Below are 14,073 nucleotides of genomic sequence, written 5' to 3'. Positions count from 1 at the left end.
AGGGTGATAAGCTGTCCCATTTTACCGAGGACTGAGGTTTCCCTGGCATATGGAACTTTCGGAACTAAAGCCAGAAAATTCCTGGGGAAACCAAGAAAATTGGTCACCTTAGCCATATTTTCTGGGCCAATTCAAGAGCCTTCTGTGTCTCCCTGGCTGCAAGACCCCTGCCTTCCTGCACCAACCAAGTTTACCCTTCCATCTTCTGGGAGCACCCCAGAGACCTCCTCTACTCCCTCAGGCCAATAAAAGAAGTCAAAGTTGGAGAAAGTCAAGACAGTGGCTGAACTCCCATGCTTGCTTAATGCGGAGGCTGAGGTCTGGGCTCAAATGACAGGTCCCTTTGAAGAACTGACAGGGACTTGGTCTTCCCAGTGATGTGGGGTGGTGGAGATGAGTCTTGACATAGTAATGGGGCTCCTATTTTATGAGACTGGTAAATTTTCACAGGAAACTAAATAACAGGTTAATGAGGGGTTTTAATAGAAAGTGGTGTTAACTTTAATGAGGAGAAAACACTTTGTAAAGGCCAACCAATGCCCACTGGGGCAGAGATATAAATCTGGGGTAAGGAGCTGCTTCTCTGCTTTGGGGTGTCTGGCCTCAGAGACCTATCAATTGCATCTGAGTTGCAGGGGCCATGGCTTCCAAATGCCTCAAGGCCGGCTTCTCTTCTGGGTCTCTCAAGAGCCCAGGAGGGGCCAGTGGGGGCTCCACTCGTGTGTCCGCAATGTACTCCAGCAGCTCTTGCAAGCTTCCAAGTCTCTCCCCTGTGGCCAGAAGTTTCTCTGCCTGCTCAGTGGGTCTGGGCAGAAGCAGCTACAGGGCCACCAGCTGCCTCCCTGCTCTCTGCCTCCCTGCTGGAGGCTTCGCTACCAGCTACAGTGGGGGTGGGGGCTGGTTTGGGGAGGGCATCCTCACTGGCAATGAGAAGGAGACCATGCAATCCCTGAACGACCGCCTGGCCGGCTACCTGGAGAAGGTGCGTCAGCTGGAGCAGGAGAACGCCAGCCTGGAGAGCCGCATCCGTGAGTGGTGTGAGCAGCAGGTCCCCTACATGTGCCCTGACTACCAGTCCTACTTCCGGACCATCGAGGAGCTCCAGAAGAAGGTAAGAGGTTCAGAGTGGCTTTGGATTCCCAGGAACTTTGTGTCACCAGCATTCATTGGTAGTTCTGTTCCCATAGGGCATGTTGGAAGTCACCAAGCATGTTCATCTCTGTGGCCTCATTTGCTCCTCCCAATAACCTTAAGAGGGAGGTATCATTAGCCCATTATACAGTTGAGAACACTGAGATTCAGGCTGGGTAAGCGACCCAGATGGCAGTTACTGGAGCCAGAGCTTGAACATCAGGTCTATGAATGAACTCTGTGACCTTTGGTGGTATTGCCCAATCCTCTGAGTCTTCTGAGTTTTCATTTCCTCTTTTATTTAAAGTCAGGGGATTGGGTTTGATGTATTTAGTGCAGTGCAGTTCAGGCTTCCCATAAGTAACTCAGGGAAGAAAATGCCTGTCAGAGAAGTTTCTTTCTTGCCAAGGGCCCATATCCACTTCTCGCCTGGCCCAAAGTTATAGCTGGCTCCTGTGAGGGACCATTTATGACCAGAGAATCCCGGGGTATGTTGTTGGCAATGAAATGCCCTGGGCCCCCAGTAGGCCTGGGAGACAGGGAGATTGGAAGAAGCCTCATTTCATCATGCCAGGCCTTTCCTGTTGCATTTTCATGCAGCTATCTAACCTGAGTAACAGGTCACAGATACACTGCACTGGAAGAAACCCTGGACTTTCCATAGTTGATCCCTAGAGCCTGCCCATAACACTCCAATGCACATGGAGTAGCAGAGGTCTAGGATGGGTGACTTCCTCCTTCCAGAGTCAGCCCTTGTCAGCTTTAGGGAGCTCCAACAAGTGGAATGTCCTTTCTTGCAATGAAATAACTTCTTCATATCTCCAGACTCTATGCAGCAAGGCTGAGAATGCCAGGCTGGTGGTGGAGATTGACAATGCCAAATTGGCTGCAGATGACTTCAGGACCAAGTGAGTTGTCCTGCTTGTCATGTGGTTGGGGGCTGCTAGAACTGGACACAGGTGATGCCTGAGCTCAGGGTTTTGGCTGTACTCTGTCATTGGGGCATAAAAGCAGGACTCACAGCACCTGGACAGTCTGAGGGCAGGCCTGACTTAGATGCAAAAAGGAAATGCAGACTCAGGTGCCCTGTTCTATGCCTGCAGGTATGAGACGGAGGTGTCCCTGCGGCAGCTGGTGGAGTCAGACATCAACGGCCTGCGCAGGATCCTGGATGACCTGACCCTGTGCAAGTCTGACCTGGAGGCCCAGGTGGAGTCCCTGAAGGAGGAGCTGCTCTGCCTGAAGAAGAACCATGAGGAGGTGAGCATGGGGGAAAAGGTGAACACGGCACAGCAGGTGAGCATGGGGGAGGAGGTGAACATGGGGAGGAGGTGAGCATTGGGGATGAGGTGAGCATAGGGGGAGGTGAACATGAGGGAGCAGGTGTGCATAGGGAAGAGGAGGTGAGCATGGGGAGCAGGTGAGCATAGAGAGCAGGTGAGCATGCAGAGGAGGTGAGCATGGGGAGGAGGTGGGCATGGGGAGCAGATGAGCATGGGGAGGAGGTGAGCATTAGGAGGGGTGAGCATGGGGAGGAGGTGAACATGAGGAGGAGGTGAACCTTGGAGGCAGCCCTCTGGGAATTAGTACTCATCCTGGTCTGTGCTATAGGAAGTGAACTCACTGCGCTGCCAACTTGGTGACCGCCTCAATGTTGAGGTGGACGCTGCCCCACCTGTTGACCTGAACCGAGTTCTGGAGGAGATGAGGTGCCAGTATGAAACCCTGGTGGAGAATAACCGCCGGGATGCTGAAGACTGGTTGGACACCCAGGTAGGTACCTGGAAACAGTCAGTGCAACAGGGGTATGTGGTGGCTCACATGGAAGTGACCCTGGGGCTCTGAATCAAGAAATCTAACTTTGAGTCCCATCTCTGTTTTGACCTTGCTGACAAGGTCAAAACAGACCCACTTCAATTGACCTTGCTGACAAGGTCAAAACAGACCCACTTGGGCAGGTTGCTGTCCTCTGAGCAACAATGCCCTCCAGTATAAAATAAATGAGTGGGACTGGGGAATCGGGAATGTCTTTCTTGGCTCATGATTCTAACCGGCCTCTGTAGCTCTCTGAAGCCAAGTCCCTGGTGTGGCTGACCAGGTTCTGTGTGTGTATGTTTCAGAGTGAGGAGCTGAACCAGCAGGTGGTGTCCAGCTCAGAGCAGTTGCAGTCCTGCCAGGCAGAGATCATCGAGCTGAGACGCACGGTCAACGCCCTGGAGATTGAGCTGCAGGCTCAGCACAGCATGGTGAGCCCCAAGGCAGGGTGGAGCTGCCTCTGGACCAAGCCGAGGAGCACACAAGCTCCCCAGCTTCCATGCTTTGACCACACAGGCGGACTCCAGGGGTCCATGTTCTTGAGCACCAGGGGTTCTCTATGCAGAAAAGAGGGAATGAGGGACCAGCTCCAGTCACAAATCCCCCAGTGGTAAAGGACAAGAGACCTGTAGCAACTGACATGTCCAGGCAGTAGGTCCTATATTTGTGCAAGCAGATACATCTTCTGAGTAACTATCAGTTACTCAGAGATGACACTAACAGGGAGATACTTTCTAGATCAAAGAAGCCACAGGGGCTAATTAGCTCATCTCAAGTGAGATGTCTGATTGTGGTTCATCCTAGCTCAAACTCTGATTCTCCGAGCTTCTGTTCTTGGATTCTGAGGCCTCACTGAGACCCAGATTCCTTCCTTGCTCCTTCTCTGACCTCTAGCCTTTTTCCTCCCTACACAACTCTTGACCTCACAGAGAGATGCTTTGGAATCCACCCTGGCAGAGACGGAGGCCCGCTATAGCTCCAAGGAAGATTCCTTCCTTGCTCCTTCTCTGACCTCTAGCCTTTTTCCTCCCTACACAACTCTTGCCCTCACAGAGAGATGCTTTGGAATCCACCCTGGCAGAGACGGAGGCCCGCTATAGCTCCCAGCTGGCCCAGATGCAGTGCATGATCACCAACGTGGAGGCCCAGCTGGCCGAGATCCGGGCTGACCTGGAGCGGCAGAACCAGGAGTACCAGGTGCTGCTGGACGTCCGGGCCCGGCTGGAGTGTGAGATCAACACGTACCGGGGCCTGCTGGAGAGTGAGGACAGCAAGTGAGTATCACTGCATGTGCTCTTGTCTTCTCACTGCAATCTACCAAGTTCTGGGAAGACAGCATGGTGCCTAGAAAGAGCCTGGCATTCGGAGTCTGGAGTTCTGTTCTCTTAGTTCTGGTCTTCCTGAAAACTCATCACGTGACTCCAGCAAGCCCCCTTTCCTCTCAGGGCCTGTTTCCCTTTTGGTAAAACAAGGGGGCAGGATCAAGGTGGTTTTTAGGGTGCTTCCCAGTTTGCATAGTCTAGGATCTACTTTGAGTTACTGCAAACAGCAACTGGAAAATCACAGTAATTTGTTTTCTTTTTTCTAGGCTCCCCTGTAACCCATGTGCACCTGACTACTCACCCTCCAAGTCATGCCTTCCCTGTCTTCCTGCGGCCTCCTGCGGTCCTAGTGCAGCCCGCACAAACTGCAGCCCCCGCCCCATTTGTGTGCCCTGCCCAGGGGGTCGGTTCTGAGAGCGGGTGACCCAGATGGCCATGGCTATTGTCTCCAGGGCTTGAACTTGGCCTCTACCCAAACTTAACCCTTGTAGCCCAATCCCCTCTCTTCGCGCAGAGCCCAGGCCCAGGGTCTGGCTGAAAAGGCTTTCTGCAAATACATGCCCTAAAGTTTCTCAGAGCCTGTCACAAAGGCCGGCTGCCCCCAAAGGTCTCAACTCCTCATCATTTCAATGGGTGCCAGGGTCTCTGTTCTCAGGCTGCCTCCTGGGTCAGGTTTTCCTTCTAGGTGCTGTTCCGGTGGATTCTGAAATGCAGTAGAGGGCTTTTGTTGGCAGAACAATAAAGTGCATTTGCTCAGGCCCCTGATGCCTAACTTGCACCATTCTGGTGTTGTTGGCTTGTGTCTCTGCTGTGTCCAGGGGGTGACTGTTGGGCAGCCGAATGGGAGATGTGTGACCAAGTATGACCCTTTGGATGACAGGGTCACTATGCCCCTGTTTGGGGTGGGTAGAGGCCTACAGTGAGAGCTTTTGCTTGGCTTCCCTGATGAAGACCTTTCTCCAAGATTCCAGTGTGGTGCCAGGTGTTTTCAGACTGCTGTGGAATCCCTCTTAGTATACGTGGTCACCTGGGGATCCCAGAGTGGGAGGGACAAAACTGAGATGGAAACTGAGATCAGCATAACAGGGAGGGTTTTAGGCCACTTTATCAGCCTCTTGTCTGTGGTCCTTGTAAGACCGGCGATAGGGTGTCTCCCTCCCAGGGTACTTTTAGGGGTGCATTTACATAAGCCCCCTACCATTGCAGCCCTTTCATGCAGCCCTCCAAGTTCAGCAACCCCCTTAACAATCCACAGCCCATCATAAGCAGGAGATGGAGAGTGTGCTCGCCTTCAGGGCTTCTATCCCGAATGCTAAGGCTCTTGTCCTTAGGAGGCTTGTGCATGTGCTCCTGTGCTCTTGGCATCTGGTGAGGTGTACAACGAGCCCTCCTCAGATGGGTGTGAGAGCTCCCAGCAGCTTGACCCAAAGGCTCTCATCTGTGTCCAGAATGTCCTCCCCAAACAGGCAAGGCAAATAGCAAGTTCCCTTAATCCCAGTGGGAAAGGGAGAAGGGCCAAGACCAAAGTTTCTGAGCAAAAAACGAGGATGTGCGTTCCCAGTTGGCATGTGCTCCTCATAAGATGCTGAGAGCACCTGCTAAGGAGCTTCAGTGATGTTAAGAGAGCTGTAGCCACGTCCAAAGGGAGAGCAGGTGGCTGGAAGATGCTGACTAAGGCAAGCCAGAGACCCTTGTCCCTTAAGGACATCTGCTATAGTTCCCTCTGATTTGAACACAGAATCCTCTCCTTTCTAGCCCCCTGCAAAGAGGGCCTGGGCCTTTGGTTGCTCCCAGCCCCACCTTGCTCCTGGCATCTGGCGTCACCTCCGTGTTGGTCTTTTTGGAACCCCTTGGCTAATTTTGGTGAGGCTTAGGCACCGGAAAGGGGTGGTCGCCTCAGGATCATTCACTTCATTCAACAAGCCCTTACAAAGCATGTCCCTGTGCCAGGGGGTGTGTTAGCTGCCAGGGGAGGACTGGTCTGTGTAGGAGGGGGGCCTTGGGATGGGACTGGAAGGATGCTCACTTGCCACTTTTTTTCTTTTCTATCTCAGTGGTGTCAGTAGACTGGCTGAAGCGGACCTTGACATTAGTGCAATAAACGTGGGCTCCGAATGTGGAGTCAGATGGACCTGGGTTCAAATCCCCACCCACCACTAACTACATGTGGGAGGTTTAGCAGGTCATTGTCCATTTCTGAGCTTCAGTTAAATAGAGAACATGACACTTATGCTGTGAAGTGAGGCCGAGAATGCTTTGCCCAGCATATGCAGGGCATTTGAAGATGGCTCATCACCACCAACTCTCCCTTCCAGCTGGACGACTGGATTGCTATGAGGCTGGGCATCCACATTTCCCTGGCCAGAGTTTCACTTCTGACGTTTCCTTCCCGGTAAACCAGGCCAGCTAAAGTGAATATGCAGTTACATGCTTCATTATCTAATTCCAACTCTGAGCAAAGTCAGCGGGGAGCCTCATGGCCAGCAGCACGTGGATGCTATCTGGAGCACTTGGGCTCGGTTAACTCTGCTGTGTATAGGTCACGCCCTTCTTTATGGCATTCTCTGTGGCACAAATCCTTTCTAAACCCATCCTAGCTTCCTCCAAGATGTAGCTAACTAAATCATCTGTAATCCTACTTCTAATTATTATTTACTTCATTTGCTTGTGCTTTTTAATTATAACGCTGTTTCCATTCAACTACAAGTTCTCAACCTTGCCTGTACATTGGAATGACCTGGAGGGCTTTAAAAAATACCGATGACTGCTCTGACCCCCCAAAATTCTGCTTTAGTTGGTCTGGGATATGACTCGGTACTGGGATTTTTGAAAGCTCTCTGGGTGATTTGAACATGCAGCCAGGGTTGAGAGGTCATTTGTCAGGTAGAGGAACTTTTGGCAACACAGCTGGGAGTGCAGAGGGCTCAGGGCAACTCTGACATAGACCCTAGCACCCCCAGGTCTGGTCCCTATTATGCTTTTGACTTTCTCAGTTCTGGCATTTCTCTCTCTTTCGACTTCAAATTTTTGAACTGCATTTTAAATTTGTTATATTTTTTTCTCCAAAAAGTCATTTTTTTTCTCTGTTTGCTCCTGTTTTATAACATTTAGTTCTTGTTTCATGGCTATAACTGCTATATGTATATACATCTCTCCCACTCTGAGGTTATTTAAAAAATATATATATATACAGTTTTGGATTCTGCATTATTTCTGTTTTCTTCAATTTCCTTTTTTACTGTTTTGTTTGTTTGCTTGTTTTACTTTGTCTTTAATATTGGAAGCTTCCTTCAAGTATCTGGTCATCCTTTTGTTTATATTTTATGACGAGACACTAAAAAGCTGATAGAAGGTGCTACGTGGATGGGCAGGTTGGAAAACCGGCTTTTTGCATGGTACAACCACCTCAGTTCAGTTTCTGTAAGTCTTTTCTCTGGAGTTTTATTTTTTTTCCAAAGAAGGAGCCTCTGGTTTTCTGCGGGGGAATGAATGGAGGGAGACAGTGCTGGCCCAGGCTGTGACACACATCCTATCTGCTTTTGTTGAAACAGGCCCTTCCTCCTGGATTCTTTGCATCCCTTTCTCTTCTCTTCCTAAACTTATTTTCCTGATAGTTTGCTCTGGCCCCAGAGAGGTTGGGGTACAGTGGAAAGTCTTTGGATCAGCCAGACCTGGGCCTGAGAACTGACAGTGCCCCACTTTCTCTGTGGCTACCTTTCCTAGACCCTACTTCTCCATCTTCACGACATACCCCAGATCTGGCATATTGCCTGGAACTGTGGTCTTCTGTGACTTTGGATGCTGCTGCTACTACCTTTATCAATCCGCTCTTTTTTTTTTTTTGAGACGGAGTCTCGCTCTGTGGCCCAGGCTGGAGTACACTGGCGCAATCTCGGCTCACTGCAAGCTCTTCCTCCCGGGTTCACGCCATTCTCCTGCCTCAGCCTCCCAAGTAGCTGGGACTACAGGTGCTCGCCACCAAGCCCAGCTAATTTTTTTGCATTTTTAGTAGAGACGGGGTTTCACCGTGTTAGCCAGGATGGTCTTGATCTCCTGACCTCGTGATCTGCCCGCCTGGGCATCCCAAAGTGCTGGGATTATAGGTGTGAGCCACTGCACCTGGCCTCAATCTGCTTTTATATGAAACCTGGTCTTTCCTTCACAACGGAAAACTCTGCTCACGCTGGCATTTGGGACTGCACCTCACAGCGACAGCCTCTCAGCATCATCCTGGAGCCCCTGCTCCTGGTTCCTGTCTCTCTCCTCCTCATTCCTTCCTTCCAGGATTGTCCTGTGAACTTCAAATCCTTCTCTCCTTTCACCCTCTGATGTCTTACCAGCCAAATCAAGGCATTAGGGTCCCACCTTTTAACCCAAGATCTTCTTAATGTAGTTTCCCAAGTAAAGACATTTTTTTTCCTGCAAGATGAATTCTGGTGACAGCTGTTAAAATATATGCAGGCACACTTCGATTTATTGAGTTTCAATTTATTATACTTCCCAGATATCGTTTTTTTTTCTTTTTTCTTTCTTTTTTTTTTTTTTTTTTTACAAATTAAAGTTTTGTGCCAATCCTGCCTAGAGCAAGTCTGTTGGTGCTAATTTTTCCAACAGCATGTGCTTATGTGTCTCTGTGTCACATTTTGGTAATTCTCACAATACAAATTTTTTCTTTTTCTTTTTTTTTGAGACAGAATCTGGCTGTCTGCCCAGGCTGGAGTGCAGTGGCGTGATCTCGGCTCACTGCAACCTCTGCCTCCTGGGTTCAAGCAATTCTCGTGCCTCAGCCTCCCAAGTAGCTGGGATTACAGGCACACCACGCCTGGCTAATTTTTGTAATTTCAGTAGAGATGGGGTTTCGTCATGTTGGCCAGGCTGGTCTCGAACTCTTGACCTCAAGTGATCTGCCCACCTCAGCCTCCCAAAGTGCTGGGATTACAGGTGTGAGCCACTGCGGCTGGCCAAACTTTTTCATTATTGTATGTGTTATGGTGATCTGTGGTCAGTAATCTTTGATATTACTGTTGTAATTGTTCTGGGATGCACCAAACCATGCCCAGATAAGATGGGGAACCTAACTGATAAACGTTGCGTGCGTTCTGATGGCTCCACCAACTGGCCATTCCCCCATCTCTCTCCCTATTTTGGGTCTACCTATTTTCTGAGACACAGCAATATTGAAATTAGGCCAATTAATAACCCTACCGTGGCTTCTAAGAGTTCAAGTGAAAGGAAAAGTTGCAGGTTTCTCCCTTTAAATAAAAAGCTAGAAATGATGAAGTTTAGGGAGGCGGCATCTTTCATAGCTAGACAGGAGGAGTCTGCCTTCAAAACCTTCAAAGGATGGGCTGACTCTCTTGCTAGGAGCTAATGCAGCTGATGACTTCAAGTGGGAAGTCAATGCTCATTTACCATTCTGAATATCCTAGGGCACTTAAGAATGATGCTAAATCTTTTCTGCCTGTGCACTACAAACGGAACGACAAAGCCTGGACGACAGTGCATCTGTTTATAACATGGTTTACTGAATATTTTAAGCCCACTGTTGAGACCTACTGCTTAGAATAAAAGGTTTCTTTCAAAATATTTCTGCTCATTGACAATGCATCTGATCACCCAAGAGCCCTGATGGAGCTGTCCAAGGAGATTAATGTTTTTGTGTTTGCCAACACAACATCCATTCCACAGCCCATGGATCAAAAACTAATTTTGACTTTCAAGTCTTATTACCTAAGAAATATATTTCATAAGGCTATAGCTGCCATACAGAGTGATTCCTCTGATGGATCTGGGCAAAGTAAATTGAAAACCTTCTGAAGAGGATTCACTATTCTATATGTCAATATTTGTGATTCAAGAGAGGAGGTCAAAATATCAACATTAACAGGAGTTTGGAAGAAGTTGATTCCAACTCTCATGTATGATGTTGAGGGGCTTAAGACTTCAGCAGAGGAAGTAACTATAGATGTGTTGGAAACAGCAAGAGAATTAAAATTAGAATTGGAGCCTGAAGATGTGACTGAATTGTTGCCATGTTATGGCAAAACGAACGGATGAGGAACTGCTTCTTATTCATGAACAAAGAAAGTGGTTTCTTGAGATGGAAACTACTCCTGGTGAAGATGCTGTGAACATCACTGAAATGGCAACAAAGGATTTGGAATACTACATCAATTTAGTTAATAAGGCAGTGGCAGGGTTTGAGAGGACTGACCCTAGTTTTGAAAGAATTTCTACTGTTAAAATGCTATCAAACAGCATCACATGCTACAGGGAAATCTTTCATGAAAGGAAGAGTCAACTGATGCGGCAAACTTCACTGATGTCTCATTTTCAGAAATTGCCACAGCCACACTAACTTGCAGCAATCATCACCCTGATCAGTCCTCAGCCATCAACATTGAGGCAAGACCTTCCACCAGCAAAAAGATTATAACTTGCTGAAGGCTCAGATGATCCTTAGCATTTTTAGCAATAAAGCATTTTTAAAATTAAGTTATATACATTGTTTTTAGGCCATAATGCTATGGTACACTTAATAGACTATAGTATAGTGTAAATATAATGTTTACATACACAGAAAAACCAAAAAGTTTGTGTGACTCACTTTATGGTTACATTTGCTTTATTGTGGTGGTCTAGAACTGAACATGCACTATCTCTGAGGTATGCCTGTATCTTCCTCTATCTCAGTGGGTCTCCAAACCACCTGAAGGACATGCTAAACACAGGCTGCTGCATCCCAGCCCCAGCCTCAGAGTTTCTGATTCAGCCAGTCTGGGATGAGCCTGAAAAACTGCATTTCTTTTTTTTTTACATTTTATTTTTATTTTTATCAAAGCAGTGTATCTACATTGTTTAAATAAAACAACATTAAATAGCAAATATTTAAAAACTGCAACATCTATGCCTTCTTTCTTTCTTTATTGTTATTATACTTTAAGTTTTAGGGTACATGTGCACAATGTGCAGGTTAGTTACATATGTATACATGTGCCATGCTGGTGTGCTGCACCCACTAACTCGTCATCTAGCATTAGGTATATCTCCCAATGCTATCTCTCCCCCGTCCCCCCACCCCACAACAAATGAGAACACATGGACACAGGAAGGGGAACATCACACTCTTTTTTTTAAAAATTTTACTTTAAGTTCTGGGATGCATTTGCAGAATGTGCAGGTTTGTTGCATAGGTATACATGTGCCATGGTGGTTTGCTGCACCTATCAACCCATCATCTAGGTTTTAAGCCCCGCATGCATTAGGTATTTGTTCTAATGCTCTCTCTCCCCTTGCCCCCCATCCCCCGACAGGCCCTGGTGTGTGATGTTCCCCTCCCTGTGTCCATGTGTTCTCATTGTTCAACTCCCACTTATGAGTGAGAACATGTGGTGTTCGGTTTTCTGTTCCTGTGTTGGTTTGCTAAGAATGATGGTTTCCAGCTTCATCCATGTCCCTGCAAAAGACACGAACTCATTCTTTTTTATGGCTGCATAGTATTTCATGGTATATATGTGCCACATTTTCTTTATCCAGTCTGTCATTGATGGGCATTTGGGTTGGTTCCAAGTCTTTGCTATTGTAAATAGTGCTGCAATAAACATACTTGTGCATGTGTCTTTATAGTAGAAAGATTTATAATCCTTTGGGTATATACCCAGTAATGGGATTGCTGGGTCAAATGGTATTTCTGGTTTTAGATCATTGAGGAATCACCATGCTGTCTTCCACAATGGTTGAACTAATTTACACTCCCACCAACAGTGTAAAAGCTTTCCCATTTCTCCACAGCCTTGCCAGCATCTGTTGTTACCAGACTTGTTAATGATCACCATTCTAACTGGCATGAGATGGTATCTCATTGTGGTTTTGATTTGCATTTCTCTAATGACCAGTGATGATGAGCTTTTTTTCATATGTTTCTTGGCCACATAAATGTCTTCTTTTGAGAAGTGCCTGTTCATATCCTTTGCCCACTTTTTGATGGGGTTGTTTGTTATTTTCTTGTAAATTTGTTTAAGCTCCTTGTAGATTCTGGATATTAGACCTTTGTCAGATGGGTAGATTGCAAAAATTTTCTCCAATTCTATAGGTTGCCTGCTGACTCTGATAACAGTTTCTTTTGCTGTGCAGAAGCTCTTTAGTTGAATTAGATCCCATTTGTCAACTTTGGCTTTTGTTGCAATTGCTTTTGCTGTTTTAGTCATGAAGTCTTTGCCCATGCCTATGTCCTGAATGGTATTGCCTAGACTTTCTTCTAGGGTGAAAACTCACATTTCTAACATGTTCCTGAGTCAGGTTGATGCTGAGAGTGACTGATAACACCTTATTATAATAATTATAGTTTTTGGGTGAGAGGATTAAATGGGCAAATTAATGCCAAGCACTCAGCACCATGCCTGGTATTTGTATACATTCCACAAGTGCTGGCTATGATTCTGAAGGGTGGCCTGATGAGTCTCATCCCTTGTAGTTGGTATTGCCATCACACCTCCTTCCATCTGATGCTATAATCTTCTCTAAATAGGTAATCCAGACAAGGTACTGGAATTTGTAGTTGTTGCAGAGAATCAAATTGTGAGAGTATTTGATCTGACCCCCTCGATTGGCATGAAGAAACTGAGGTCTGGAGAGACAAAATTACTTTCCCAAGGCCAAATGGCAAGTCAGAGGCAGTATATCTACGCTCTCCTTTTCTTATGCAATGAATGAGCTGGGTGGCATTTTCCCTTTCCTGTTCTTGTACTGACATTTCTGGGAATATGTGAAACATAAGGCAAGTACTTATACCCCAAAATTATATCAAGAAGATTACTGAATAAAAAAGTGGCTATATAGCACACACATACTAAATGTGAAGCTCACAGCTTTTGCAGCCAGGACTGAAAACCACTGCTCTAGCATGTTGCCTTCTTAAGTGAATGCCCAGGGCTTCTATAGTTGGGCAAATATGCTCCCTGTCTCCTGGCTTAGCTCATTCCAGGGCTATAGAACATCCTTTCCCAAGGGAGTGGATTCACACTGCTTCCATAGTCTGAGATCCTGAAGTGAGCCTTCCCCATCTGCCACAACAGAAAGTAAAAGTAGAACCTGTTCCAACTATTCTCAGTCTGTTCAACAAACAATTATTGAGCACTTGACAATTGTGTATATGGTGCAGTGATAATTGAATGGATGGTCCAGAGGGGGTCAAGACAGAGCAGCTGCCACCTGGAGATGTTCATGATATGGACTTTTCCAAGAGGAAGAGACCAACTGGAAAGATGTACCTGATTCTTAGGCTTCTGTTTGGGTCTTTTTTTTTTTTTTTTTTTTGCCTTTTGAAGGGGTGCAGCATTCCTGGAGGTACTGCAATACCAGGTCAACATGTAGAGTGAACAGAGCAAGCTCTTATTCCATCTCCCTGCTCCCAAAATCCATTTAATATGTTGTCCTCAGATGGAGGACGTATCAGATATTAAGACGATAAGAACAGATACCACACTTGATCTTAGCCAAAAGGCTGAGAAGTGATGCTGCCTATGTCTTGAGTTCATTCTCTCCCCACTGATATTATTTTCTTCCCCTTGGCAGGAAGATGATGTCTGTTAGGAAGCCTCTGAGGTTCCTGTTCCTTTCTGCTGGATTTATGCCGCTGCCAGCATCGGAGCAGTTTCTACCACCCACACATTTCCTTGTTAAATAGCCAGGCCTCTTCCCATGGGGAATGCTTTCATTAAAAGAGGCAGCCACTGCTGCACAGACCTGCAGGCTTCTCAGGGCTAGAGCAGGCGGGGGTGCAGTGGGCAAAGCCAGTGGAGGCACA

At 47.1% G+C, this 14,073-nt stretch overlaps 1 protein-coding gene and 1 pseudogene across 1 annotated transcript; one reads left to right on the top strand and one right to left on the bottom strand.

The window, feature by feature from the left end:
* Positions 587-5,028, top strand: KRT35 (keratin 35). The gene is made up of 7 exons (NM_002280.6): positions 587-1,111; positions 1,957-2,039; positions 2,235-2,391; positions 2,743-2,904; positions 3,252-3,377; positions 4,000-4,220; positions 4,535-5,028. The coding sequence occupies exons 1-7, from the start codon at positions 641-643 to the stop codon at positions 4,680-4,682; spliced, it is 1,368 nt and encodes a 455-aa protein (NP_002271.3). The 5' UTR covers positions 587-640; the 3' UTR covers positions 4,683-5,028.
* RNU2-32P (RNA, U2 small nuclear 32, pseudogene) lies at positions 13,592-13,782 on the bottom strand (annotated as a pseudogene).

This window comes from Homo sapiens, chromosome 17 (assembly GCF_000001405.40).
Source record: "Homo sapiens chromosome 17, GRCh38.p14 Primary Assembly".
Taxonomy (NCBI): domain Eukaryota; kingdom Metazoa; phylum Chordata; class Mammalia; order Primates; family Hominidae; genus Homo; species Homo sapiens.
The sequence above is the reverse complement of the archived record's forward strand: the minus strand, read 5'-3'. Positions and strand labels throughout refer to the sequence as shown.